General features: G+C 41.3%; 2 pseudogenes, besides 3 other annotated features; both read left to right on the top strand.

Annotated features, from left to right (window-relative positions):
- The first annotated feature begins 116 nt into the window (after nucleotides 1-116).
- On the top strand, nucleotides 117-25,969 carry LOC124905414 (chromodomain Y-like protein; annotated as a pseudogene).
- Nucleotides 19,771-20,418: an enhancer, noted in NCBI's record as "H3K4me1 hESC enhancer chr3:16739803-16740450 (GRCh37/hg19 assembly coordinates)". NCBI's record gives its function as "activates a minimal SCP1, AML or CMV promoter by ChIP-STARR-seq in primed H9 embryonic stem cells {active_cell/tissue: H9 hESC(primed)}" and the evidence as "EXISTENCE:reporter gene assay evidence [ECO:0000049][PMID:30033119]".
- Nucleotides 20,950-20,999: an enhancer, noted in NCBI's record as "active region_19553". NCBI's record gives its function as "activates an Ori minimal core promoter by ATAC-STARR-seq in GM12878 lymphoblastoid cells {active_cell/tissue: GM12878}" and the evidence as "EXISTENCE:reporter gene assay evidence [ECO:0000049][PMID:35858748]".
- Nucleotides 21,637-22,138: an enhancer, noted in NCBI's record as "NANOG hESC enhancer chr3:16738083-16738584 (GRCh37/hg19 assembly coordinates)". NCBI's record gives its function as "activates a minimal SCP1, AML or CMV promoter by ChIP-STARR-seq in naive H9 embryonic stem cells {active_cell/tissue: H9 hESC(naive)}" and the evidence as "EXISTENCE:reporter gene assay evidence [ECO:0000049][PMID:30033119]".
- Nucleotides 25,282-25,966, top strand: CDYLP1 (CDYL pseudogene 1; annotated as a pseudogene).

Here is a 27,658-nt window from a genome sequence, read left to right as displayed (position 1 = left end):
GACTTTCCTCATAAAGGGAGACAAGTACAGCTTCAGCCAGACCTTTCTCTTTCTGCCTTGAATGCAGGTGTGATGGATGGAGCATTGGAGCAACCACAAGGGAAAATAATACAGACATGAAGAAAACAGTAAAGATGCTGTCCCTGACATCATTGAGCAGTCAGCAACTGCCCACTACCAAACTTATTGTCATGTGAAAAATAAAAACCTCCAATTCTTTAAGTTTTGGGGGTCATGTTTTTTGTTTTTTGTTTTTTAGATGGGGTCTCACTCTGTCGCCCTGGTTGGAGTGCAGTGGTGTGATCTTGGCTCACTGCAGCCTCAATCTCATGAGCTTAGTGATTCTCCTGCCTCAGCCTCCTGAGTAGCTGGGACCACAGGCATGTGCCACAATACCCAGCTAATTTTTGTATTTTTTGTAGAGATGGGATTTCTCCATGTTGCCCAGGCTGGTCTCGAACTCCTGGACTCAAGTAATCAGCCCACCTCGGCCTTCCAAAGTGTTGGGATTACAGGCGTTAGCCAATGCACCCAGCCCATGTTTTCTTTTATTCTAGCCAAAACATTCCTTTACTGATATACCTACTCTGATGGCACTTACTATTCATCTGGACAAACAGAAATTAATTATGTATAGCATATAGATCAGAGCATACAGCATACAGAGATATAGATCTCTGTATCTAGCATTTAGATATAGATAGATCTGTATTATAATTATATTTCCATTTACAAACCGAAGTTTGTTTCTCCATATTCTCTACAATTCACTTAAATTTTTAATTGAGGCCTTATTGTGCCAGGCAGTGGAAACTTACTTTCCTCAATCCGGATGGGTATCCTCCTGTGTCTAAGGGGCAATGGGGGAAGGTGGGCTTCATTGGGTCAAGATACTGGTGGAAGCAGGCATCTGGTCTCAGCCATTATCCTCCCACACTAATATCTGTGGAGACATTTATTCTGTCTGGGTCCCTCATTTGTGACTAAGGGATCCTTTGAGCCCAGCCCTTTCAGTGAGTTCCAGGAACTCCTTGGGTGCATAGGGAACCATCCCATGCCATACAGGGCCATGCCTTACAGGGCCAAACATTTCTCATGCCATACAGGGCCGTGGAGAAAAGCAAGACAAGATGATGCCCCACCCCAGGAGCAACATGGAGCCAAGGGAACCCCGCCTCCCCAGGGAAGCAGTGACTGAATATGCAACCTCGGGAACCCATGCTTCTCCCACAGATCTTTGCAACCCTCAGGTCAGGAGATCCCCTTGTGAACCCACTCCACCAGAGCCTTTAGTCTGACACATAGAGCTATGTGGAGTCTCAGCAATGCAGCTGCTCTGGTCAGGGGCATGCATGGAGACCCAGGAGCCTTAGATACTTGCACTCTCTGGGCTTCCTGGCAAGAGCAGCTGCAACTCTGGCAAAGCAGGAGGTTATACCTCTGTACCCCTAGGAAAGAGGTTATACCTCTGTACCCCTAGGAAAGAGGGGACTGAGAAGCAACAGTCTGCAGGCTCTACTTCCACTACTCCTCTCAGGATAAGTCCCACTGGCTTGGCATTCCAGCCAGCCACCAGTAGTGGCACTGCACCTCCCTAAGAAGGGGCTTCCAGGGGGAGGGGTGGGCTGCCATCTTTGCTGTTTGGGTGACTTAGCCATTCCAGCCTTCAGAGAGTCCAAGCTGTCCAGAGGCAGAAGGGATCCCCCAGCATAGGACAGCTGCTCTATGAAAACATGGCCAGACTGCTTTTTAAATTGGTTCCCTAATCTTGTTCCTCCTCACTACATAAGACTTCCCAACTTGTGGTCTCCAGCCACCCTCTCCAGTGTTCTCCAGCCAACAGAGTTTTGAAAACCTCCTGGGGTGGAGCTCCCAGAGGCAGAGGGGCAAGCCGCCATCTTTGCTGTTTGGGTGACTTAGCCATTCCAGCCTTCGGGCTTTGGAGAGTCCAAGCCAACCAGGAGAGGAAGTGGTACCCCAGCAGAGCACAGCTGCTCTACAAAAACGTGACCAGACTGCTTCTTTAAGTGGGTCCTCCATCTTGTTCCTCCTCACTTGATAAGACCTCACGACTGGGACCTCCAGGCACCCCAGACAGTGTTCTCCAGCTGACAGAGGTTTCAAACCTCTCTGGGACAAAGCTCCCAGAGGGAGGGGTGGGCCGCCATCTTTGCTGTTTGGGCAATTTGGCCATTCCAGCCTTTGGGCTTTGGAGTGTCTAAGATGACTGAGGCCTGAAGCAGACCCCAAGCACAGCACAGCTGCTCTGTGAAAATGTGGCCAGACTTCTTTTTTAAGCAGATCCCCAACCACATTTCTCTTCACTGGGTGAGACCTCCCAACTGGGTCTTCAGCCACGTCCTACAGGTGTGTTCAGGCTGGCAAAAGGTCTATACCTCCTTAGGATGGAGCTCCCAGAAGGAGAGACAGGCTGCCATCTTTGCTGTTTCATAGCCTTCACTGGTGATGCCTCCAGGTACTGGAAATTCCAAGGGGACTAGGAACTGGAGAGGACTCCCAGCATACTACATACAGTAGCCCTACAGAAAAGTGGCCAGACTGTTATATGGGTGCCTGTTCCTGTATCTCCTCAATAGGTAGGTCCTCCAGGCCTGGTCCTGGGCCTCTAGCCACCCCCTATCAGAGCTATCAAGCCAGTAGCAACTCAGCAACTCCCCAGACAGTGTTTCCAGGGACAACTGAAAGCTTCTCTGACACGGCCTCTGTGGTGGAACTGTCCTTGCTACCCTTGGACTAACAAAGAAGCAAAGACCCTCAGTGCATTATCCACACGTCCAACAAGTTGCAGTTGACCCAAGGAAAGGAGGCTGGTCCATCTCCCCCGGGTCCCACACAACCCCACTGCTCATCGCCAGACAGGGAACCCCTAGCTTAGGTCCATGGCACAGATCCTCCATCCTGGGCTGATTGCACTGAGCAATTGCTGACCCACATCTCTCTGGGGTAGAGCCCCCAGGAGACAAGCAAAGTGGTGGGGCAGCTAGCCAGCTGATGTGGAGCACAGGTGGTTTGGTGCAGGGGTGTCTGTAGTGGAGCATAGCCAGGAACAGCCATCCCTCTAGGCTCAAATTGCTCTCATAAGAGACTTTAGCCCTAGGGAAACTATTTGACCTGATCTCTGCAGAATGGTCTTGCACATCAGATGGGGCTGGTCTGACCTGAGCACTCCTTGGTCTGTTGGCCACTCCCAGGGCCCAGCCTGACCACATATGCTTACAGGGAAGTCTTGGATGCCCTGGGGGCCCACAACATAGCTTCTATGCTGGCAGACCATGGAGAGCTTGCTGGAGAGCTCCAGCAAGGCGGCCCTTACAGCCGTGCACCAGTCCACATGTTCCCTCTCCGTACTGGAACTTCCCCTGAGCCCATGGCTACTCTCCAGATCACTTTGTTCATGCACGTCTGCATGGTCAGGTTTTGCTTTGCTTGCCCAACCAGCACACAGGTGTGTAGCATCCCCAACCCTCCACTGACCACCATTGTAGACAGAGCCTTGGTGGGCACCAAGCCAGGAAACCCCACCACTGCCAGTACCCTGCCCTTGTGCTAACACTGTGCAGAGAACAGGGGATCCTCCCACCCCCTGAGCTATTACTCCTGTTTGCAGGGCAAAGAAGGCACCCAGACCTGTGCTGGCCAGCACCTTGCCCCAAGCCAGCACCACCTCCAGTGCAACAGCACACAGAGTCCCCAGCTGCCTTGCCTCCTCCACTGTGGTAAATTCCCCCAGGGAGACAGGCACCCCCACGTCCACTGGCACTCTGTTAAAGCTGCTGCACCTCAGCCCACCCCCCAGCACAGTGGACTCCAAACCTTGAGGAGCCAGAGGACAAAGTTGGGACCCAATACAAGTCCCTCAGAGTTAGAGCTCACAGTCTAGGAGTTGGGGACTGAGTATTGGCCCCCTAAAATCTCCCAGAAATGAGGCCAGTTGGCTGAATACACCATATATCACAATCAAACCCTCAAGGTCACCAAATAGGATAAAAGAAAAAAAAACCCATCCACAGGTCAGCAACCTCAAAGATTAAAGGTAGATAAGCCCTGACAGATGAGAAAGAATCAGCACAAGAATGCTGAAAACTGAAAGAGCCAGAGTGCCTTCTTTCCTCCAAATGACCTCATCACCTCTTCAGCAAGGGTTTGGAACTGGGCTGAGGCTGAGATGGCTGAAATGACAGAAGTAGAATCCAGAATATAAATAGTTATAAGTTCATTGAGCTACAGGAGTACATTGAAACCCAGTGCAAGGAAGCTAAAAATTATGATGAAACATTGCAGGAGCTAACAAACAAAATAGCTAGTATAGAGAAGAATGTAACTGACCTGATAGAGCTGGAAAACCCACTGTAAGAACTTCATAATGCAAGTATTAATAGCAGAATAGACCAAGTGGAGGAAAGAATCTCAGAGCTTGAAGACTGGCTTTCTGAAATAAGACAGGCAGACAAGAGTAGAGAAAAAATAATGCAAAGGAATGAACCAAACCTCTGAGAAATATGGGATTATGTAAATAGACTGAATCTATGACTTAGTGGTGTAACTGAAAGACATGGGAAGAATGGAACCAACTTGGAAAACATGTTAGAATATCATCCATGAGAACTTCCCCATCCTAGCTAGAGAGGGCAACATGCAAATTCAGGAAATGCAGAGAACGCCAGTAAGATACCTCACAAGACGATTATCTCCAAGACTCATAATCCTCAGATTCTCCAAGGTTGAAAAGAAAGAAAAAATGTTAAAAGAAGCTAGAGAGAAAGGCCAGGACACCTACAAGGTGAAGCCCATTAGTCTAACAACAGACCACTCAGCTAAAACCCCACAAGCCAGAAGAGATCAGTGACCAATAGTAACATTCTTTAAAGAATTTCTAAGCCAGAATTTCATATCTGGCTAAACTTAGCTTCATAAGCAAAGGAGAAATAAGTTCTTTTCAGACAAGCAAATGCTGGAATTTGTTACTACCAGACCTGCCTTACAAGAGCTTCTGAAGGAAACACTAAATATGAAGAGGAAAGACTGTTATCAGCCACTACAAAAACACACTGAGGTACACAGACCAGTGAGACTACAAAGCAACCACATAAACAAGTGTGCAAAATAACCAGCCAGCATCATGATGACAGGATCAAATCCACACATATCAATATTAACCTTAAATGTGAATGGGCTAAAGGCCCCAATTAAAAGATGCAGAGTGACAAGCTGGATAAAGAACCAAGACCCACTGGTATGCTGTCTTCAAGAGATCCATCTTACATGCAATGAAATACATAGGTTCAAAATAAGAAGAAAAATCTACCAAGCAAATAGGAAACAGAAAAAAAGTAGGAGTAGCAATCCTAGTTTTTGACAAAACAAACTTTAAACCAACAAAGATCAAAAGAGACAAAGAAGGGCATTACATAATGGTAAAGGGTTCAATTCAACAAGACCTAACTGTCCTAAATATATATACACCCAACACAGGAGCAACCAGATTTATAAAGCAAGTTCTTAAAGACCCTCAAAGAAACTTAGATTCCCATGCAATAACAGTGGGAGATTTTAAAACCTTACTGACAATGGATCATCAAGACAGAAAATTAACAAAGATATGCAGGACCTAAACTCAGCACTGGATCAAACGGACCTGACAGATATCTACAGAACTCTCCACCCAAAAACAACAGAATATACATTCTTATTACCACATGACACATGCTCTAAAATCAGTCACATAATCGGAAGTAAAACACTCCTCAGCAATGCAAAAGAATTGAAATTATAACAGTTTCTTGGACTACAGCAGAATCAAATTAGAAATCAAGACTAAGAAATTCACCCAAAACTATGCAATTACATGGAAATTGAATAACCTGCTCCTGAACGACTTTTGAATAATGAAGTTAAGGCAGAAATCAAGAAGTTTTTTGAAACTAATGAGAGCAAAGATACTACATATCAGAATCTCTGGGACACAGCTAAGGTAGTGTTAAGAGGGAAATTTATGGCACTAAATGCCCATATCAAACAGTTAGAAAGATCTCAAGTTAACAACTTAACATCACAACTAAAATAACTGGAGAACCCAGAGCAAACAAATTCCAAAGCTAGCAGAAGACAAGAAATAACCAAAATCAGAACTGAACTGAAGAACATTGAAGCATGAAAAGCCATTAAAAAGATCAATGAATCCAGGAGCTAGGGTTTTTTTAAAAAAATAATAAAATATACTACTAGTTAGACTAATAAAGAAGAAGAGAGAGAAGATCCAAATAAACACAATCAGAAACAACAAGGGAGAAGGGAGATATTAGCACTGATCCCACAGCAATACAAACCACCATCAGAAAATATTATGAACACCTTTTTGCATATAAACTAGAAAATATGGAAGAAATTGTTACATTCCTGGACACATATACCCTTCCAAGACTGAACCAGGAAGAAATTGAGTCCCTGAACAGACCAATAATGAGCTCTCAAACTGAGGCAGTAAACAGCCTACCAACCAAAAAAAGCCCAAGACTAGACAGATTCACAGCTGAACTCTACCAGGTGCACAAAGAAGAGCTAGTACCATTCCTACTGAAACTATTCCCAAAAACTGAGGAGGAGGAACTCCTCCCTAACTCATTCTATGAGGCCTGCATCATCCTGATATAAAACCCTGGCAGAGATACAACAAAAAAAGAAAACTTCAGGCCAATATCCTTGATGAATATCAATGCAAAAATCCTCAACAAAATACTGGCAAACTGAATCCAGCAGTACATCAAAAAGCTTATCCACCACGATCAAGTAGGCTTTATCCCCAGGATGCAAGGTGACTCAGCATATGCAAATCAATAAATGTGATTCATCACATAAACAGACCTAAAGACAAAAACCAAATAATTATCTCAATAGATGCAGAAAAGGCTTTCAACAAAATTCAACACTCAACATTCATTCATGTTAAAAGCTCTCAATAAACTAAGTATTGAAGGAACATATCTCAAAATAATAAAAGTCATATATGAAAAACCCACAGCCAACATCATACTGAGTGGGCAAAAGCTAGAGGCATTCCCTTTGAAAACCAGTGCAAGGCAAGGATGCCCTCTCTCAACACTCCCATGCAACATAGTATTGGAAGTATTGGCCAGGACAGTCAGGCAAGAGAAGGAAATAAAGGTCATCCAAATAGGAGGAGAGGAAGTCAGATTATCTCAGCAGACAGCATGTTCCTATATCTAGAAAACCTCATAGTCTCCATCAAAAGCTTCTTAAGCTGATAAACACCTTCAGCAAAGTCTCAGGATACAAAAACCAATGTGCTAAAATCACCAAAATCACTAGCATTCTTATTCACCAACAATAGTCAAGTCAAGAGCCAAATCAGGAACTAACACCCATTTACAACTGCCACAAAAGAATAAAATATCTAGCAATACAGCTAACTAGAGGAGTGAAAGATCTCTACAAAGAGAACTACAAACCACTGCACAAAGAAAAAGAGATGATACAAACAAATGGAGAAACATTCCGTGCTCATGGATAGAAAGAATATTGTTAAGATGGCCCAAAGCAATTTATAAATTCTGCCCAAAGCAATTTATAAATTCAATACTATTCCTTTAAACTACCATTGAGATTCTTCACAGAACTAGAAAAAACTATTTAAAATTCATATGTAAGCAAAAAAAGCCCAAACAGCCAAGGCAATCCTAAGCAAAAAGAACAAAGCTGGAGGCATCATACTACCCAACTTCAAACTATACTACCAGGTTACAGTAACCAAAACAGCATAGTACTTGTATAAAAACAGACATCTAAACTAATGGAACAGAAAAGAGAACCCAGAAATAAGACCATAAACCTACAACTATCTGATCTTCAACAAACCTGACAAAAACAAGCAATGGGGAAAGGATTACCTATTCAATAAATGGTGCTGGAATAACTGGCTAGCCATACGCAGAAGATTGAAACTGGACCCCTTCCTTACACCCTATACAAAAATTAACTTAAGATGGATTAAAGACTTCAATGTAAAACCCAAAATTATAAAAACCCTGGAAGACAACCTAGGCAATACCATTCAGGACATAGGCACAAGAAAAAATTTCATGACAAAGACACCAAAAGCAATTGCAGTAAAAGCAAAAATTGACAAATGAGATCTAATTAAACTAAAGAGCTTCTGCACAGCAAAAGAAACTATCAACAGAGTAAACAGATAACCTATGGGATGGAAGAAAATTTTGGCAAACTATGTATATGACAAAGGGTCTAATATCCATCATCTATAAGGAACTTAAACAAATTTATAAGAACAAAACAAACAACCCCATTACAAAGTGGGCAAAGGACATGATCAGACACTTTTCAAAAGAAGACATACATGTGGCCAACAATCATATGAAAAAAAGCTCAACATCACTGATCACTAGAGAAATGCAAATCAAAACCACAATGAGATACCATCTCACACCAGCCAAAATGGCTATTAATAAAAAGTCAAAAATGACAGACGTTGGCAACATTGTGAAGAAAAAGGAATGCTTATACACTGTTGGTGGGGGTGTAAATTAGTTCAACCGTTGTGGAAGACAGTGTGGTGATTCCTCAAAGACCTAAAGACAGAAATACCATTCAACTCAATAATCCCATTACTGGGTATATACTCAAGGGAATATAAATCATTCTATTATAAAGACACCTGCCATTTTAACTGGCATGAGATGGCATCTCATTGTGGTTTTGATTTGCATTTCTATAATGACCAGTGATGATGAGCTTTTTTTCATATGTTTGTTGGCCACATAAATGTCTTCTTTTGAGAAGTGCCTGTTCATATCCTTTGCCCACTTTTTGGTGGGGTTGTTTGTTTTTTTCTTGTAAATTTATTTAAGTTCCTTGTAGATTCTGGATACTTGACATTTGTCAGATGGATAGATTGCAAAAATTTTCTCCCATTCTGTAGGTTGCCTGTTCACTCTGATGATAGTTTCTTTTGCTGAGCACAAGCTCTCTAGTTTAATTAGATCTCATTTATCAATTTTGGTTTTTGTTGCAATTGCTTTTGGTGTTTTAGTCATGAAGTCTATGCCTATGAAGTCTGTGTCCTGAATGGTATTGCCTAGGTTTTCTTCTATGGTTTTTGTACATATGTTTATTGCAGCACTATTTACAATAGCAAAGACTTGGAACCAACCCAAATGCCCATCAATGATAGACTGGATAAAGAAAATGCAGTACATATACACCATGGAATACTATGCAACCATAAAAAAGAATGAGTTCATGACCTTCGCAGGGACATGGATGAAGCTGGAAACCATCATCCTCCGCAAACTAACACAGGAACGGAAAAGCAAACACTGCATGTTCTCATTCATAAGTGGGAGTTGAACAATGAGAAGACATGGACACACGGAGGGGAACATCACACACTGGGGCCTGTCGGGGTGGGAGGTGCAAAGGGAGGGAGAGCATTAGGACAAATATCTAATGCATGCAGGGCTTAAAACCTAGATGACGGGCACATGTATACCTATGTAACAAACCTGCACATTCAGCACATGTATCCCAGACTTAAAGTAAAATAAAATTTAAAGACACCTGCATGCATATATTCATTGCAGCATTCTTCACAGCAGCAAAGACATGAAATCAACCTAAATGCCCATGAATGATAGACTGGATAAAGAAAATGTGGTACATATACACCATGGAAAACTATGCAGTGGTAAAAAAGAACAAGATCATGTTCTTTGCCAGGAACATGGATGGAGCTGGAGGCCATGATCCTTAGCAAACTAACACAGGAACAGACAACCAAATACCACATGTTCTTACTTATAAATGGGAACTAAATGATGAAAACACATGGACACATAGAAGGGAACAACACACACTGGGGCATACTGAAGTGTGGAGGGTGGGAGAAGAGAGAGGATCCGGAAAAATAACTATTGGTTACTAAGCTTTATACCCGGGTGATGAAATAATCTGTACAACAAACCCCCATGACACAAGTTTACCTATGTAACATACCTGCACATGTACCCCTAAACTTAAAACAAAAGTTAAAAACAAAAACTGAAGATAAATGTCTGCATAGATATCAGATATTATAGTCATTTTGATGGCAGTGCAATTACATTTCATGAATAAAAGAATGCCTAAGAGGGTCAAATAACTTACTAAATAAGGCAAGTAAACTATGATTCATGTGAATATATAAATATTCATAAAAAATTGCTACATCTTGTGCAACCTCTGCCTGGGGATGAATTTTGTTGATTTGTACTTTTGATCTTTGAGTTAAAATTTCTGCTCATTCTGACTTCTAAAACCTGCTTGAAGATAACACATTCATATCCACAAACTCAGATCTTACATTTCTGTATAATTGTGCATCATAGAACCAGATTAGAGTTCCAGTTACATCTGTCAATTCGATGACCATTAAGCCATCTTCTTTGCATTTTCAGATAAAGATGATTAACTTGAAAAGGGAATCCATTTTTTTTTTTTTTTTTTTTTTTTTTGAGACGGAGTCTCGCTCTGTCGCCCAGGCTGGAGTGCAGTGGCGGGATCTCGGCTCACTGCAAGCTCCGCCTCCCGGGTTCACGCCATTCTCCTGCCTCAGCCTCCCGAGTAGCTGGGACTACAGGCGCCCGCCACTACGCCCGGCTAATTTTTTGTATTTTTAGTAGAGGCGGGGTTTCACCGTTTTAGCCGGGATGGTCTCGATCTCCTGACCTCGTGATCCACCCGCCTCGGCCTCCCAAAGTGCTGGGATTACAGGCGTGAGCCACCGCGCCCGGCCGGGAATCCATTTTTAAAAGGCACATATTCTACCTTTTTGGTTATAGAAAGAAATTCTAAACCAGTGATTTTTTTTCAGAATTATTTTTTTCAAAGGTATGAAACATTAAGACTACTTCATGCTTAACATTTGTTATTTTAATAAGAAGAGCTCTAATTAAATACAAAGACCACTCTCCTTCTGCTTTAGGTTGGACCTTTGCATTCCTTTTACCTGGCAGTAGTGTGCATGCTTACTAGTAGTTAATTATCTGTGTTCATCTCTTTCACTACACTGTCCTCAGAGCCCAGACAAATGCCTAGCACACAGGAGGGCCACAAAACTAATCTGTGAGCTGTCTGATTAGTCAACCCCATTGGTTCTACCTTATCGGCCCCTCCCTGTCCCATCTCCCTGGCAGCACGCTAGTCAGTGTCTTATCAGCTCACGTGGACATTGTCATACTCCCCTCCTCACAGACTGCTCGCCTCCAGTCTTTGCCTCATGCAAGCCATTCTGCACACTTCTAGTGAACCCACCTGCTAAAATCCCTTGTGCATTACCTTGCAATTCTCAAAACCCTTGACTGGATTCCTGATGCTCACTGAAAGAAGTTAAGCATGGCAGTTAAAAGTGAGAATTCTGGAATCAGACTGCTGGAAGTCAAATGTTGGCTTCCACTTTAATAGTTGTGTGACACTGGGCAAGTGTTACACAAAAGTAGTATCACCAATGTTAGAATCAAGTCCAAATTCCTTAGTGTTAGCCAAGGCATTCTACCATCTGATCTTAGTGAGTGTGTTCAATTTTATCTTTTTGTCTTCTACCCCTTCCCCTACACTGTGAGCCATCTCCTGAGGCTGATAGGTCTATATCCAGCTTTCCTACTTCCAGACTTCTGGGGCCCACTAGAATGTCTTGCTACTGCTCTTTGCTTACATTGCTTATATCATTTTCATCCTTCAAGGAACACCTCAAGTCTCCCTGCTTCCACAAAGCCTTCCCTGATGGGATCAGACCCCACTGCTCTCACCTACAGCTCTTAGGAATCCCATCCCATATTTTCCAGTTAAGTAAGTACTTCCCAAGGCAACTCTTATTTTTTTCAACATACATTATTTTTAAACCTTAAACATACAGTTCAACTTAGTTCATAACACTCTATCATTGTTGGTTTATGGAAGAGTCTTTATTTTATTTTCTTGTATTATTTATTTTATTTAAAAATGTCTTCCTTTTATTTCCCATTTCTTATCCTAGTATTCATCAGTATTATACTCTTTATTTCATCTTCCTTATTACTTTTTCCTCTCAACTTTATGTTTTTAAGACCTACCCATTTTGATAGCTGGATATATGACTCTAGTTTGTTCCTTGGAACAGCTGAACAGCATTTCATTCTTTTTGCTTGGACTGCATTTTATTTCTTCATTCTCTCATTGAAGGGCATGAAGCTTGTTTCAAGTTTTTGTTCATGTAAAATGCTGGGATGAAAATCTTTGCTTAGCTCTCAATTTGTGTGCCTGTTCATTCTTTTATTCAAAATATATTTATCTGGTGCCAGTCTGTGCTAAAGACAAGTAGCTACTGGGAGTACAGCATAATTGGGAATAGACAAAATCCCTTCCCTTATTTTAGTATGGAAAGAAAATAAATAGACAATAAACATACAATGCTAGGTTATAATAAGTGCAAGGAAGAAAATAAATCAATAAATCAAGATAAGAGGACAGATAGCAATGGAGGATGCTGTTTCAAATCCAGTGGTCAGGAAAAGTCTCTCTGAGAACGTGGTAACATTTGAATAGAGACGTGAATGAAGTTAGAGAGTGGGCCATGCTAATATCTGGAAAAGGAGCATTCCTGGCAGAGGGAACGGCAAGTGCAAGACGTGTTCCAGAACTAGCAGTGGGTGAGGCTAAAGCACAGTGAGTGAGGGGAGGCTGAAGGGGAGCACGGAAGAGATGAGACTACAGGAATAGGGTGGAGCCGAATCAGATAGCATCCCCAGGCCATGTAAAGACTGATGCATCCATTCTGAGTGAAGTAGGAAGGATTTTGAGGAAAAGAATGACAAGACCTGACTTTTTGAAAAGATCCTTCTGGCAGCTGAGTGGAGAATAGATGACAGGAGAGTAAGGATGAGAGGGAGAATCCAGTTAGGAGACCACTGCAGTTGTCCTGAGCAGAGATGGTGGTGCTTAGACTGAGTGGTGGTGGTGGAGGTGGGAGAAGGGTAGGAATACTGCAGCATATTTTGAAAGTAGAGCCAATGAGATTTGTTAATGGATTGGGTATGGGGAACGGGAGGAAGAGAAGCATCAGGGGCGACCCCAATAGTTCTGACTTGAGCAGCTGGGAAGATAAAGTTGTACCATTTATTAAGAGGAAGACAACAGGTAGAACAGGTTTCAGGGAAAAACCAATGGTTTGGTTTTAACATTTTAAGTTTGAAATGCTTATCAGACATCCAAGTGGAGCTGTCAAGAAGGTAGTTCTGGAATTTGGGATTAAGGTCTGTGCTGGAAATAAAACTAGAAAGTTGTCCTGGTATACATGATACTTAAAGCCAAGCTTATGCAGGGAGTGAGTGTAGATTGAGAAGAGAACAAGTAAGGGACTGAGCCCTGGAGCAAGGCAACACATGGAGTCCGGAAAGGGGATGAGGAGCCAGCAAAGGAAAGTGAGAAGTAGATGCCATGAGACAGAAGACTCAAGCAAGAGAGAAGCATCCCTGGGGCAGTGAAGAAAGGGCCTCAAGACAGAGGAAACTATCTATTATGTCAGCGGTGTTGATGGGCTCAAAAAGGGGAAGACTGAGAATTATAGACAATTCTTTGGAGACATTTTACTGTAAAGGGAAGCATAAGTATGAAGCAAAACATAAAGGGGAATGTATAAAAGAGGGATGTTTTCTTTCCTTTTTTCTTCCCTTTTCCTCCTCTCCCTTCTCTGCTTTCCCTTCCTGCCCCTCTCCCTCTTTCTCCTCCTCCTCCTATGTGGGGACTGCTACAGCATACTTGTGTGAATGACCCAACAGGGTGGGAGAAACTGATGATCAGGAGACAGTGGTGACGGTCTAGGAACATGGTTCGTGAGGAGATGAGAGACATGGAAAGAGTTAGTGTCAGGAAGGGAGGAAGGCAGAGGATACAGGCACACTTACTGGTAGATTGGTAGATTTGGCAATGGGAACGTGGGGAAATATTTTTCTGTTTGCTTCCGTATTCTCAGTTCGATAAGAAGTGAGGTCATCAGCTGAATGTGAGGAAGAAAGAGAAGATATGAGAAGAAAGAAGTTGAGAAGGACAGTGATGGACTTGAGAAATATGGTAAGATTACCTGAAGATCAGTTTGATTCATAGGCCAGGTAGGGTGGGAGTGTGGGAGTTTGTGTGGGGCCTACACATAGAAGAGGATTTGTGAGATCATAGGGTGCGCATCTAGGCAAATCCACTAAACATTGCTCATTGCTCTCCAGAATGGTCTCACTAGTGATGGATGGGGTTTCTCCCTCTCCAAATTCTCATAGGCACTTTAGGAAATCCAGGTTTTTTATTTTTTCTATACCTTTCAGGTAAATTTGTACTTCCCTATATATTTTTCATTTCTCTGATTTTTATTTATTTTTATTTTTATTTTTTATTTTGAGACAGAGTCTCGCTCTGTCGCTCAGGCTGGAGTGCAGTGGCGCGATCTCGGCTCACTGCAACCTCTGTCTCCCGGGTTCAAGCGATTCTCCTGCCTCAGCCTCACGAGTAGCTGGGACTACAGGCACGTGCCACCATGCCCGGCTAATTTTTTGTATTTTTAGTAGAGACGGGATTTCACCGTGTTAGCCAGGATGGTCTCAATCTCCCGACCTTGTGATCTGCTCGCCTCAGCCTCCCAAAGTGCTAGGATTACAGGCATGAGCCACTGCGCCCGGCCCATTTCTCCACTTATGAAAGTTGAGCATCTCTTCCCACGCTTATCAGCCTTTCCACTTTCCCCTTCTGTGAAATGCTTATGCATATCTGTCCTAATTTGTGTTACCTGGAAAGCAGGTCTCAGTCACAGACTTGGGTGCAGGTCATTTATTCAGAAGTACAAGCAAGGGAGTAAAGACAGCAAGACAAGGAAAGGAGAAAACCCACTAAAGGGTAAGTTATGGGCAGATAATTGCTGTGGACAACCAGAGCTCAGTCCTGCTGAGGACCCTCTGAGGACCTGTGTTGAACACGCCTCAGAATTTTCCTACCAGGATATGGGGAAGCTAGGCTGTTTATATGCTACTCACTGGTCTTCTTTGGTTGAGAGCTGCCCCTGGTGAGATTCAGCCACTAGCTTGTCCCATTTGCACTGCACCTAAACTAAGCAAGTTCCCACAGTACCTGAAAAAACCTTGAGGCTGAGAAAGAGAGAGGCTCCCACACAGGTGGGAAGCAGTGTGCATGCTGGGAACCTTCGATAGTAACTGCAGGGGAACACAGAGATGGGCCACGAATGTGGGCAGGGCATCAGCAGGGTCCCCTACAATATCCTCATCCTTTTCTTTTCTTATCCACTCGCAGGAGTTTTCTGTGTATTCTAGTTATTTTTTGTCAGTTATTACCACTTTGTCACCTCCAAATCTATCACACATCTGGTAACTTTGTGGTATCAGAAATCTTTAATTTTGGTGTCATTAACTCCATTGATTGTCTCCCTTGTGGTCTGTACTTTTTAGCACCTTACAAAATTCTTCTCCATTCCAGTGTCACAAAAAAAAATTCTCCATTTGCTGCTAACCGATGTATGGCTTTGCCTTTCATGTTTAGGCTTTTACTCTACCTAAAGTTTATTTTTGTATATAGAAAAAGGTGGGCATCTACTCCAAGTTTTTCCCACATGATGAACCAGTTTTCTAGGGACTATTGATGAATTCATCTTCCCTCTACCAGGCTATGATGCTACATACATATTCCAAGTTCCCATGGACATCTGGATCTGTTTCTAGATTCTACCCATTTGTCATTCATTCAGTTCTTCAACCTATTCCTTATATTGGCAATTGTAATTTTTATATCTAGTACCTTTGATTGGCTCTCCTTCAAACTACTTATTCTTGTTTCATATTTGCAATGTTTTATTTGGTATTAAGATTCCTGTTCATATCTGTCAATAGGTCTGCTTCTTCTGCTGTAGGCTGTTCTGTTTGTGGTTATTCTTTCACAGTAACTGTTTTTCTTAAATTGTCCCAAGATTTTTTTACAGTGGTCTCATTGTCAGTCCTTTGAGACCATCAACCACCTCTGCTCATGAGGCTAACTGGGGGAAGTAGCAAAAGCCCATGGCCAGGTGGGTTTGGGGAATGGATGAGATACCTTTCTACTGAAGCTTCATGAGACCACATTTTCCCCTTGGTGCTCCTCTAGATATTTCCCCCTCCCTCCATCCCAGGTGTCACTCTCCTCCTGGGACAGCCACCCTGTTGACCAATAGTGGCAGTCCTCATCCCAGCCAGGCTTTCCCTTTTTCTATTGTCCCTTACTACCCCACGTCCTGCTCCCACCCCAGACATTTTACTTCCTAACAGGACATCCCAATATCCTTTATTCATTACTCATGACATGACTTTCAAACTCCTGATCACTCACCAATGGGCACATTTTAATTTGTCATTGTCCTTCTGAAGATGTGGTGCCCAGATCCAAATACAATGCTCTGAGTGTTCAAATGAAAACATTTTACCAGGTAAATATCAAGGTTGTAAAGATTCTTTCTGTTTCCTTTGTTTCAGCCAGGAAGTTTTCAGTTAAATATTTTAATTGTTAAGTCAATTATAAGGAAATCATAAGATGTGAGAAAATTATCTTAGCAAGGGAGAATGAGATTGTTAGACTCACACAATGGATTATAGTGAGGAAAGAGTTGACAGAGATGGATGATTAAAAGAACAATATTAAGCAGTCTTCTTAGGTATGTGAATCATCCTTAGCTACACCTGGGACAAAGAAATTACAAGAAGACTAAGGAGACTAAGGAGAAGACACAGTGAAATGTAAATAAAAGAACAAAGGATATGTGTATATGAATGGAGAAAAGGAAAATTCTAGAGTCTGAGAAAGTCAAGAAAGAATTAAATACAGAAATGTGAAGCCCCAGAAAAAAAACAGAAACATTCATGAAGTTTCCCCATTCATTTCTGAGTGCAGTTTTTAAAATGGAAAAAGAATCGTTATCTTTTTAAGTGAATGAAATTCATAATATAAATTGTTCATATATTGCTGCCTAAACTTTGCTCTCCAAAAATTGCTTCTAAAAACTATGAAATAGGGACATTTACATGTAAAACTATTTAAATAAATGTCTACAACTAAATCAGAGAGTGTGTTTTTGGAAGATACAACCAACTGGTTTTGAAATTTAAGAATATTTTTATTCTCAAGAATAGAATGAAAGATTTTTATTAAGAAATGAAAAGAATTTTCCAGCTAGTCAATTCACACTTATCCCTCTGCTGGATTCAAGTTTCAAAGATATGGGGGCTTATATGTTTGTGAAATAAAGGAAGGAAGGGAAGAATGAAAAAATAGGATGAAACAAGGAAGATGGAGAGGAGAGCAGAAGTCAAGACTGCTGATAGAATTGTCAGAATTTAGGCCATCGGGGCCTTGTGAATTTCTTCAGTGGTGTCCCTGTTGAATCGTGGTGGTAAGGACAACTTACAACTAAGCACTTGCAGGCTCTTGCTTTATTTCTATCCTTTTATTCCTTTATTTTCTGGAGCTAAAAAGGATCTGAGTAATGTTTGCAACTATGTCAAATTGATGATGATGATAGTGACAACATTGGATATCACCCCTTTCCCTGCTCTTCTTTTTATCAGAAGTCCCTGAAAAAGTTCTCTGATGTGTTCACCTCTTCTTGGTTCACTCCTATACCTACTCCACTTCCTCTTCTTTCCTTTTCCCTTGAAGCCACTCCAACCAGGCACTTACCCTGGCCACATCACTACAAGAGGGTACCCAGAGATCTCCACTTTGCTAAACCCAACCAGTGACTAGATCTCAACCACAGATCTTTGCTCTGTAAGCAGCATGTGATACAGCTCATCATCCTCTTTTAGAAAAACTTTAGAAATTCTTCTGGCTTCCAGAATTCCACACTTGCTGAGTGTCCACTTCTTACTTCCCTGGCTGTTCCTCTCAGGGCTACTTTTCTGGTTCCTCCTCATCTTCCTGACCTCCAAGTGTGCCCCAGGCCTCAGTTCTTAGCCTTCTTTTTGTATCAATATTCACTCCCATTTATAGGCCAGCTTCCTAATTTTCATCTGACTGTAAATCTTCAATGGGTGTTAAAGATGAAAAACACCCATTTTGCATGCTTTATTAGATGAATAATTTCTGCCCAGCAAGATATTCATGTCCTAGTCCCCAGAGCCTATAAGTATGTTACTTTACACAAAAGGGACTTTGGAGATGTGATTAAGTTAAGGATCTTGAGAGGGGTTGATTATCTTGGATCATCTGGGTAGGCACAATGTAATCACAGGGCCCCTGTAAGAGGGAAGCAGGAGGGCCAGAGTCAGCAAAGAAGTTATGAAGAGAGAGGCAGAGATCATGGAGAGACTTGACGATGCCTTAGTGCTGGCTTTGAAGATGGAGGAAGGGACCACAAGCTAAGGATATGAATGGCTTCTAGAAGTTACAAAAAACAAGGAAATAGATTCTCTCCTAGAGCCTCCAGAAGAAAAGCAGCTCTGCTGACACCTTGATTTGAGCCCTGGATGACCCATTTCAGACTTTTGACCTCCAGAATTGTACATAATACATTCGTGTTGTCTTAAGCCACTTTGTATAATATGGTACAGCACCAACAGGGAAAACTTACATACATATAATAATTTGGTACACAACCAATAGGAAAAACTTATGCACATACTAAAGTGTTTTGAAGTAAAGTACACTGATTTCTGCAAATTTCTTTGATATGCATCAAAAACATAAGTTTACTAGACAGAGGAATAAATAGATGGTTAGAAGCATGATAAAGCAATACAGCAAAATGTTCATGGTAGAATCTACATGGTGGGTATATGGACACTAATTTAAAATTCTTTCAACTTTTCTGTATGTTTGAAATTTAAAAAAATAAAATGTTAGGGAAAGGGTTAGATAAATTGTGAATTTTTCCAAAATTTCAGTTATTTGGCTTCCAAAAAAAAAAAACGTATTTTTCTTAGAAAAGGCCTTGAATTTCTCTGGATATTTTATACTTCTAACTATCTACATTGTCTGGTCCCCCTGGTGACTAAATGCATATATTTTAGGAAGGGCTAAAACACAGCGAAGGTAATTAATCAGACCCCATGGAGACTGAAGGCTTAACCTTGACATCAGTAGTGACAAGCATAGTCAACTGAGCTACATAGCCTAAGTAAAAAGAAATAACCCTATGGAATGCTAATCTATAGATATGCAAATGAATTAGCTCTATAACTTATCAAATCTGAACTACATGAGGTACCCTGAAAATTGATAACTGTTCCATACTTTAATGGAAAAACACCAGGAAAAAAAAACTTTGATGTAACTTTCATTCTTTCAAGAAGAATATGTATCACTAACACCTTTATGAGAAAATTCTTATTTCCCTAGGGAACACTATTGGGCAGTTAAGAAAACAGGCAGTTTCTGAGGGCCTTTTTGTTTATTAGGGAGTAAGATTAAAAGAAAATCTCTGGCTGTGATTTCTTGGGCGAAAGGATGTAGGGAGAACTGGTTTCTTTGGAATTTTTTCTGATACAGGCTCAGGGGAATGGGTATGATTTTAATACATGAGCTGCTGTTTTCCATACTAAGTAATGCTTTTTCTTACTCAACATCTCTCTTCATCATCACTGCACAGTGAGGCTGGGCTCAGGCTTGCCGGTTTCTGCCTCAGAAGGCACACTGCAGATAATTTAGAGTCAGATTCTGGGCTTTTGAGTTTCTAAGCAGGCCTTTGAAATTCATGAGAGAAAAACAAGGGTTTTAATTTACAAAAGCTGTGTTTTCTGGGAGAGAAAACCATTTTGAGTTACAAAATTTTGGTTGGAGAATCAAAAACAAAGCTCTGAAGAAATCAGAGCATACAGTATAAGCCATCACCACTGGCTCTCCACCTGGCTGTATGATAGAACCACCTGGGGACGTTTTCTAAAAACGTCATTGCCTGGACTGGGTCTAGACCAGTTGAATGGAAATCTCTTGCTGTGGGGGCTCAGTACTGGTATTTTTAAAGTCTCCCCCCTAATACCCACACACTAGGTGATTCTCATGGGCAGTCAGTTGAGAACACTGCCCAACTCAACAGAATAGAAACTCAATAGATGACCATGCAGACTTCCCTGCTCTTTAAAACTAGGTCAGAGGTACTTGAATTATCAGGCTAGAGTCAGATTAGAGCTCCAGGCTTATATGTTGCTGTGGGCCTCTGGGAAAGGGTCCTGCTCCTTGGAGGGTGATGGAATCTTAGATAGAGTTGGTGGGGGTACCTAAAAGTGAGAAAAGTGCCTCGTTACTGAACCAAACCTGGGTCCATTGGCCCAGCACAGTAAAGACAAATATCTGTACCAAAGTTTGCAGCAAGAAAAAGGAGGGCATTTATTTGCAGGGTGCCAAGCAAGGAAAATCAGACAGCTATTGTGTGAGATCCTACTTCCCCAGTGGCTTATAAGCAAGGGTTTTTAAAGACAGGGGAACATTTTTGGAAACAGAAGTTACAGGTATGAAAAAAAAATAGAACCTTGGGACCCCGAACTCACTATACCAAAGTGCAAGTTAAGCTTAGAAGCTGAGTCACAAATACTGTCTTCCTTTGGCTCCCAGATAGCTGTAATTTCACAACCCCATGTCATAGCCTCATTTCCTCTACTCCCTCTTTCCACATTTGCTTCATCTTATGTAAAATGTAGACTCACTGAGTGTGAGAGAATGCATCATTGACTTTTTCCTCTATTCCCTCTTTTCACATGTAAAATGTAGATTTACTGAGGCTAATAAGAGCCTCACAAGAATGTGACCACCTGCCTCACTGCCTGCCTCCTTTTCTTCCCCCTGCTGCTTGCAGTTCCCCTTTTGTGAACTGAAGTTCACAAAACCCCCTTTGGAAAAAACATAAATCACAGGAGCATCTGTAATTTATGCTTTTTCCCAGGCGCATCCTCAGCTTTGGCCAAATAAACCTCTAATGGATGGAGACTTGCTTCAGTCACTTTTTGGTTTACATTTTGGTAACCACAAAGGGGCTTTCTGAGTGGAGTTGGCTCTTGGCCTGTAGCAACTCTCCTACTGGGGCCCTAGTACCAGCTGGAGCTCTTTATTGCTCTGACCTATTGGATGATTTGCTGAAGTCTGAGAGTTTCTCCCTCCAGAGATCCCTAATCACTCAAAAATTTCCAGTTGAGATCTGAAGTTTATTCCACTGCAGAACTCCTTTTCTGAGAGTTCTTACTTCTAACAAGGAAGAAGACTTTCCTGCTTCCGTGATGGCAGAGAGCAGTTTTCAGCTTGTGCCCCATCTCCAGGTAAGGAGCTGGTTTGGGGTGTCATTTGGGGATTTAGTAGCTGAAAGTCAAGGCTTACCGTCAGTTGGCTATAATTTCTCCTCATGCTCAGAAATCTCAATTTTATGCAAATTGTTTGATTGCTTTTTTGTGTTTTTTGTCTGTTTGTTTCTGTCCATCTTCCGTTAGATTTAATGAACTTCTGGCCCCCTCTAAAGCTGACTAAAATCCCTGCAGCTGTAGAAAGTCAAATTCCACCTCTAAAAACCCCAGCCACTTAAGAAAAATCAAAATTTGACTATCTGAAATGTTTCATATAAGACGACTGCCTTTCCAGGTTCTCTCTCTCATTGTGCTATTAATTTAAAGATTTTAGAGATCTCCTATTCTAAACTATTAACGAAAAGATCAGATATTTTAAAGGGAGCCTAATAGTTTCATGGCTAGCCTTAAAAATTATCTTGACTAAATTAAGAGCAAAATCTGACCGAAAATAGTTCTGGTGGTTAAAATTTCCACCACAGCTTGGGTTTGCTTCCTGATTAGGGAACAACAATGGCCATTCCACCTGGTGGCCTAATTGTTAAAACCCTCCACAGCATGGGTTTGATTCCTGGTCAGGGAACCAGCCTGTCTTGGTTTAATATTTATGTGGCTTTGGGGGTACCAATGTACTATTGATCTTTTCCCCTTCTGTGGACAGCTTTTGATTTCCTGTCTTCTGTCTGTGTTGGGGGACCCAAGGCTCTTGGGTCTTCATGTATGGACAGTAAGCTGAAAAGCTAAGACCCTAGAAAATATGGCCTGAAAGAAATGTGGGTTAGACCCTGTTTATGGCTAGTGAAAGTTTCCTTTCTCTTAGTTATTTTTGGGGTGATTCTGGATCTTGTAAAAACTACTTGTCACCTCTTTGGAGATACCTCGTGCGTGCATTTGTGGTTATAACTTCGGTTAAGGTAACTGAGAGGATATCTTTGGTAAGGATGTTCAAAAGCCAAAAATATCAGCTATTTGTCCCAGCTAAAATCTGGTAATAAGAGATTTGAAGGGATTATTTTAAAAATCTGAGTGGAATTGGCTTACTCCAAAACTCCAAATCTACGAGTAGAAGTCAGCTTAATTAAAAGTTGATATCTAAGGTAGATGATATATATATATGGCCATTACTCTTTTTCTCTTTTTGGATTCTATTTTTAGGAATTTTTTAGTTGACTGAAACATTAAAATAACATTACATGCTTGGTACTTCTGCTCACTTCCTTTCTTAAAAATTGTTCTATTTATTTTTACTCCACCCTGTTCCTCCTTCCTCTTTGCCATCTTCAGTCTCTTTTGGATTTTGTTACCTAAACTGTTTGGCTTTTGGGGGTACCAGAAATTGTTTTGTATTGTGAAAAAAAGACTTGACCATGGAGTATATATTAAATAGGGAATGAGTTGATCACAGAGTGGGCTGATTGGCTTGGGTTGTTCACTGGCCTCTGGGGAATGTCCTTATAGAGAGGAACACTGTGGAAGTGTAACCGTCCAATGAGTTCACCTTGCCCACTGCCTAGACAAAGCCAATTTATCAAGACAGGGGAATCGTAATGGAGAAAGAGTAATTCACACACAGCTGGCTATGTGGGAGACTGGAGTTTTATTATTACATTTGGGGATCCGAATTTTTAAAGATAATTTGGCGGGCAGGGGCTTCGGAAGTGGGGGCTGGTGATTGGTCAGGTTGGAGATGGAATCATAGGGGGTCGAAGTGAGTTTTTCTTGCTGTCTTCTGTTCCTGGGTGGGATGGCAGAACTGGTTGAGCCAGATTACAGGTCTGAGTGGTGTCAGCTGATCCATGGAGTGCAGAGTCTGTAAAATATCTCAAGCACTCACCTTAGGTTTTACAATAGTGATGTTATCCCCAGGAGCAATTTGGGGAGGTTCAGATTCTTGGAACCAGAGGCTGCATGACCTCCAAACTGTACTTTCTAATCTTATAGGTAATTTGTTAGTCCTGCCTAGGCAGACTGGTTCCCAGGCAAGAAGGGGGTCTTTTCTGGAAAGGACTATTATCAATTTTGTTTCAGAATCAAACCATGAACTGAGTTCCTTCCCAAAGTTAGTTCGGCCTATGCCCAGGAATGAACAAGAACAGCTTAAAGGTTAGAAGCAAGATGGAGTCGGTTAGGTCTGATTTCTTTCACTGTCATAATTTCCTCAGTTATAATTTTGCAAAGGCAGTTTCAGTTTTCCAATTTATATATATTTGGATCAGGTTTACATTAATTACAATGTTAACTCTTAGCAACTCTTATTTTTAGTGAAAAACCTAAGAGGTGCCATTTTTAATTATGTATCAGATGCAGAGCTCAGGACAAAAAACAGAGCTGCAGATAAGGCATGGCCCTTCCCAGCTGAACCAGGAGGCATAGCTGGGCCAGGGAGAGTGCCACCTGTCTTTAGGCCTTACTGTAACCATTTTTTTTTAGAGCCTGGATTTTTTATAAAAGTATATAAGGAAAGTAAGATGAGTTTTGATAAAAAAAAAATAATAAGAAGGCATAGAAATGTGATTTTTGTTAAAGGGAAAGTAATTTTACCTGGTTTAGAGGATTTTTATTATTTTTAATTAAAGAAGTAAAAACAGTGTCAAGTAAAGCTATATGAATATAGAAAGGTGAAAAAGAATGTAAATTTTTGTCCTAAGGTACAATGACAGGACAAAACTGAAGGTTTAAGCAAGTTATAGAAAGTTTATGAAATTGAGCTTGTGAAAGGAATTCTGTGTGTGCTTAAATTGGCTAAAATGTAAAAGGGATTATTTAGTTTTCCTATAAGTTAAGCATTAATATCAAAAGCACACCGATGTGAGAGTCTGGGCCCCTGTGTCAGACTAACAGGGTTTTATTTGTTTGTTTCTTTTCTGTAGGGTCGATCCACTCTATAACAAAAGATTGAAAAAGTTTTTTAAAGGCTTATGGAAATCTTACCTTGTGGTCTAACTGATTGAGATTGGACGGTTTTGTTTATTTATAAGGTTTTATGAAAAATTAGCTTTAAGTCATTGTTCTCCTAAGGCAGGAAATGGCTGTGATTCCTGATCTGAAGAGTTTTATCTTGGGTAGTACTGGTTTCCAGTGATCGACGGTTTAGGTACACAGGATTTGGAAAAGGAGTAAAATGGATTATGTTGGCCTCCACCAACTAGAGCAGGACAGGCTGAAAGAATTGTTGACAAAAGGAAAAATAAGAAGGGAAGACAGAGTATTTGGTTTGATGGAAGGGCTATGACAGTGAGGATCACACTTGGAAACCAGAGTGCCATCTCGTGAAACATGAGGAATGCAGACACCACGTCAAAAAGCAGAAAGAGAGCACACTGACCAGAACAAATAGCACTCTCCAAACAATGCTAGGAAATAAATCTCCAGATCCACCAACAGAAGCTTTGATAAGACCTCTCCTAAGTCACTAGAGATTGGCAAACACTATGAGTCTAAAAACAGCCAGTTGTTTGCTGCTACCCAGAAGTTCAGGAAAAACACAGCTCCATCTCTCTCTAGCTGGAAGAATATTGACCTAGCAAAGTCAAGTATCAAGATATTTGTGTTTATGAGCCCCATTAAGAGCAGGACCACAGAGAATGGCTTTCAGAACAAGAGCCCCCAGAAACTGGACCCTGTTGAGCAGGGTCAGGAGAATATGGTGGTGACTGAATAGCCAGTTGGAGCTATAGAATAGCGGCTGGAGAATAGTAAGTTGGAGCTTTATTGGACCCCTGTGCATAGAGCAGGTCAGGATGGGAAACAGGCCCTGAATACACCCACTAGTGCCTCAGGTGTCTGGCCCCATGACTACAGCCATGACCAGGGCCCTAGTTGTTAATGGGAAAGGTACGAGGCAGAGGTTGCAGTGAGCTGAGATGGCACCACAGTATTCCAGCCTGGGCAACAGAGTGAGACTCTGTCTCAAAAAAAAAAAAAAAAAAAAAAAAGAGAAATCCAAAGTGCTTTGAGCACAGCCGCTGCTGAAAACAGCAAGCTTATGCTACTCAGTGCCATTGGCAGTGCCTTCTGTTGTGCACTTGACTTTATTTATTTTATATAGCATTCAACAAATGACAGCAAAAGAGAAAGCACTAGAACAGCAGAAGCTACCAGAAACTTTGTGAATACTTTCATACAGTTTCAGAAATCTATTATTGTAGTAGTCAATGGCCCAGCCATTAGGCTAAGCGCATCTATATTGCCTCTTTGCAATGTGGTCTGTACTAATGAAAAGGCTTGGTTTCCACCGCTCTTTACTATCTTTGGACAGAATCCAGATGGCTGTTCTACCATTGTTTCCTAAAGTAATGGAAGGGGCATTTGCAAATGAGATATTGCTCAGTGGGCAGAAGATGACCACACAGGAAGCCTGTGGTAAAGGTCTGGTAGCCCAGGTATTTTGGCCCGGGACCTTCACCCAGGAAGTTATGATTTGAATTACGGAGTTTGCCTCATGTAATCCAGTTGTGCTTGAGGAATCCGAAGCCCTTGTGTGCCGCAACATGAAGATGGAGTTGGAGCAGGCCAATGAGAGGGAGTGCAAAGTGCTGAAGAAAATCTGGGGCTTGGCCAAACTGATGGACTCCATGTTAAAGTGCTTGCAGAGGAAAATTGATGAGTTGTGACCGTTAAGCTGCCAGCTGATGTCACTGGGATGGGCTGAGCAGAAGAACATCATTGGTTTCCCTAATCCATTCTTGCAGCCTGAAATAAGCTCACGCATAGTTCATGCTTGGAAGCAGGACTGGAAATACCCAAGTTATTTATTATCAAGAAGTTTTTAAGTACTGTAGCTTTAAAATAAGTAACTACAAAGCTGCTTTGTCCACACAAGTGTAAAAGTATAATGGTGAGCACTAGACTGCTCTTGGAAGCTCTAATTTTCGTTTTCTTTGGCTAGTACAATATAAAAAAATGGAATTCTGTTTTATTAGTTTTGAATTGCAGAAAAGTCTAGAGTAATGTTTGATAATGTTTTTCTCATCTTTTTCTTCTAGAATACAGAATCTAAAGGGGTATCAGCCAGCCTCCCTAACACAGAGATACAGAATGTCTGAGGTATTGCCTTTGTCTCCAAGAAGGTACAAATACTTCAGAGATGGGAAATTCTAAATCAAAAGTGAGACTTAGCTTGTAAGATAAATCTTTCTGATTAAAAATCCACTGGCGAGCACACCCCTAAACCAAACATATGCTTAGGATTCATGCTGAGATACCAATTGGTTTCCTCTTCTTTTTTAAATATGTCCAGCTCTTTCCCAGTTAGCATGAAGAAACCACTGTCTCTCTAAAAGAAAGCTTGTTTTGTAATATTAGTGAATCACTAAATAGCTTAATCTTGAATATCTAAGTTATGTTAGTCTTACCAAGCTTTAAATAGTTTTTCTGACCCTTAAAAAAAAAATAAAAAATAAAAAATAACTCCAAAGTGCCTTTTATTACTGGGTCAGAAATATTACCTTATATGCAGTTTTCATTTTCTATTTGCAGATATGACTAATGTATTACATCAAAATAAAGTATTTTTATGTTTATAAAATGCAATTTTGAGGTTCACTTAGAATATATTTTATTTAATAAGTTAAAGTTCTTTTAACATAGTATTAGTTGCAGAAACTCCTTTCAAAACAAAAAAAGAACTACCTTATTTTCAACTTTTAATGTTCTTGGCCTCTGCTTTTATGTCTATACAATATACTAATACAATATGGCGTCCAAGAGTGCCCTGTGTGGGTAGACAAGTGAATTCCTTCCAGGAGTGAGTACTCATTCCAGACTACAGATGCTTACTGTATTAGTCTGTTCTCACGCTGCTAATAAAGACATAACTGAGACTGGGTAATTTATAAAGGAAAGAAGTTTAATGAACTCACAGTTCCACATGGCTGTGGAGGCCTCACAATCATGGCAGATGGCAAAGGAGAAGCAAAGCCATGTCCTACATGGCAGCAGGCAAGAGTGCTTGTGCAGAGGAACTCCTATTTATAAAACCATCAGATCTCATAGGACTTATTCACTACCACAAGAACAGTATGGGGAGAACTGTCCCCAAGATTCAGTTATCTCCACCCGGCCCCACCCTTGACACATAGGGATTATGACAATTCAAGGTGAGATTTGGGTGGGTATATAGCCAAACCATATCACTTATTATTAGTTAGGCTTCTGAGTTTGCAATCATATTGAATGTATGAAGAGTGAAAAAAAATCAAAACCTTATTTCTGTACAATGTTGAAGTTTATACTCAGAACTGACCACCACCCCAGCCATGCAAAGTGCTGTACAGTGTGTAAATCTACCTTTACCTTGGATT

Source organism: Homo sapiens, chromosome 3 (assembly GCF_000001405.40).
Source record: "Homo sapiens chromosome 3, GRCh38.p14 Primary Assembly".
Classification (NCBI taxonomy): domain Eukaryota; kingdom Metazoa; phylum Chordata; class Mammalia; order Primates; family Hominidae; genus Homo; species Homo sapiens.
Note: the sequence above shows the minus strand (reverse complement) of the source record. Positions and strands in the feature narration are given on the sequence as shown.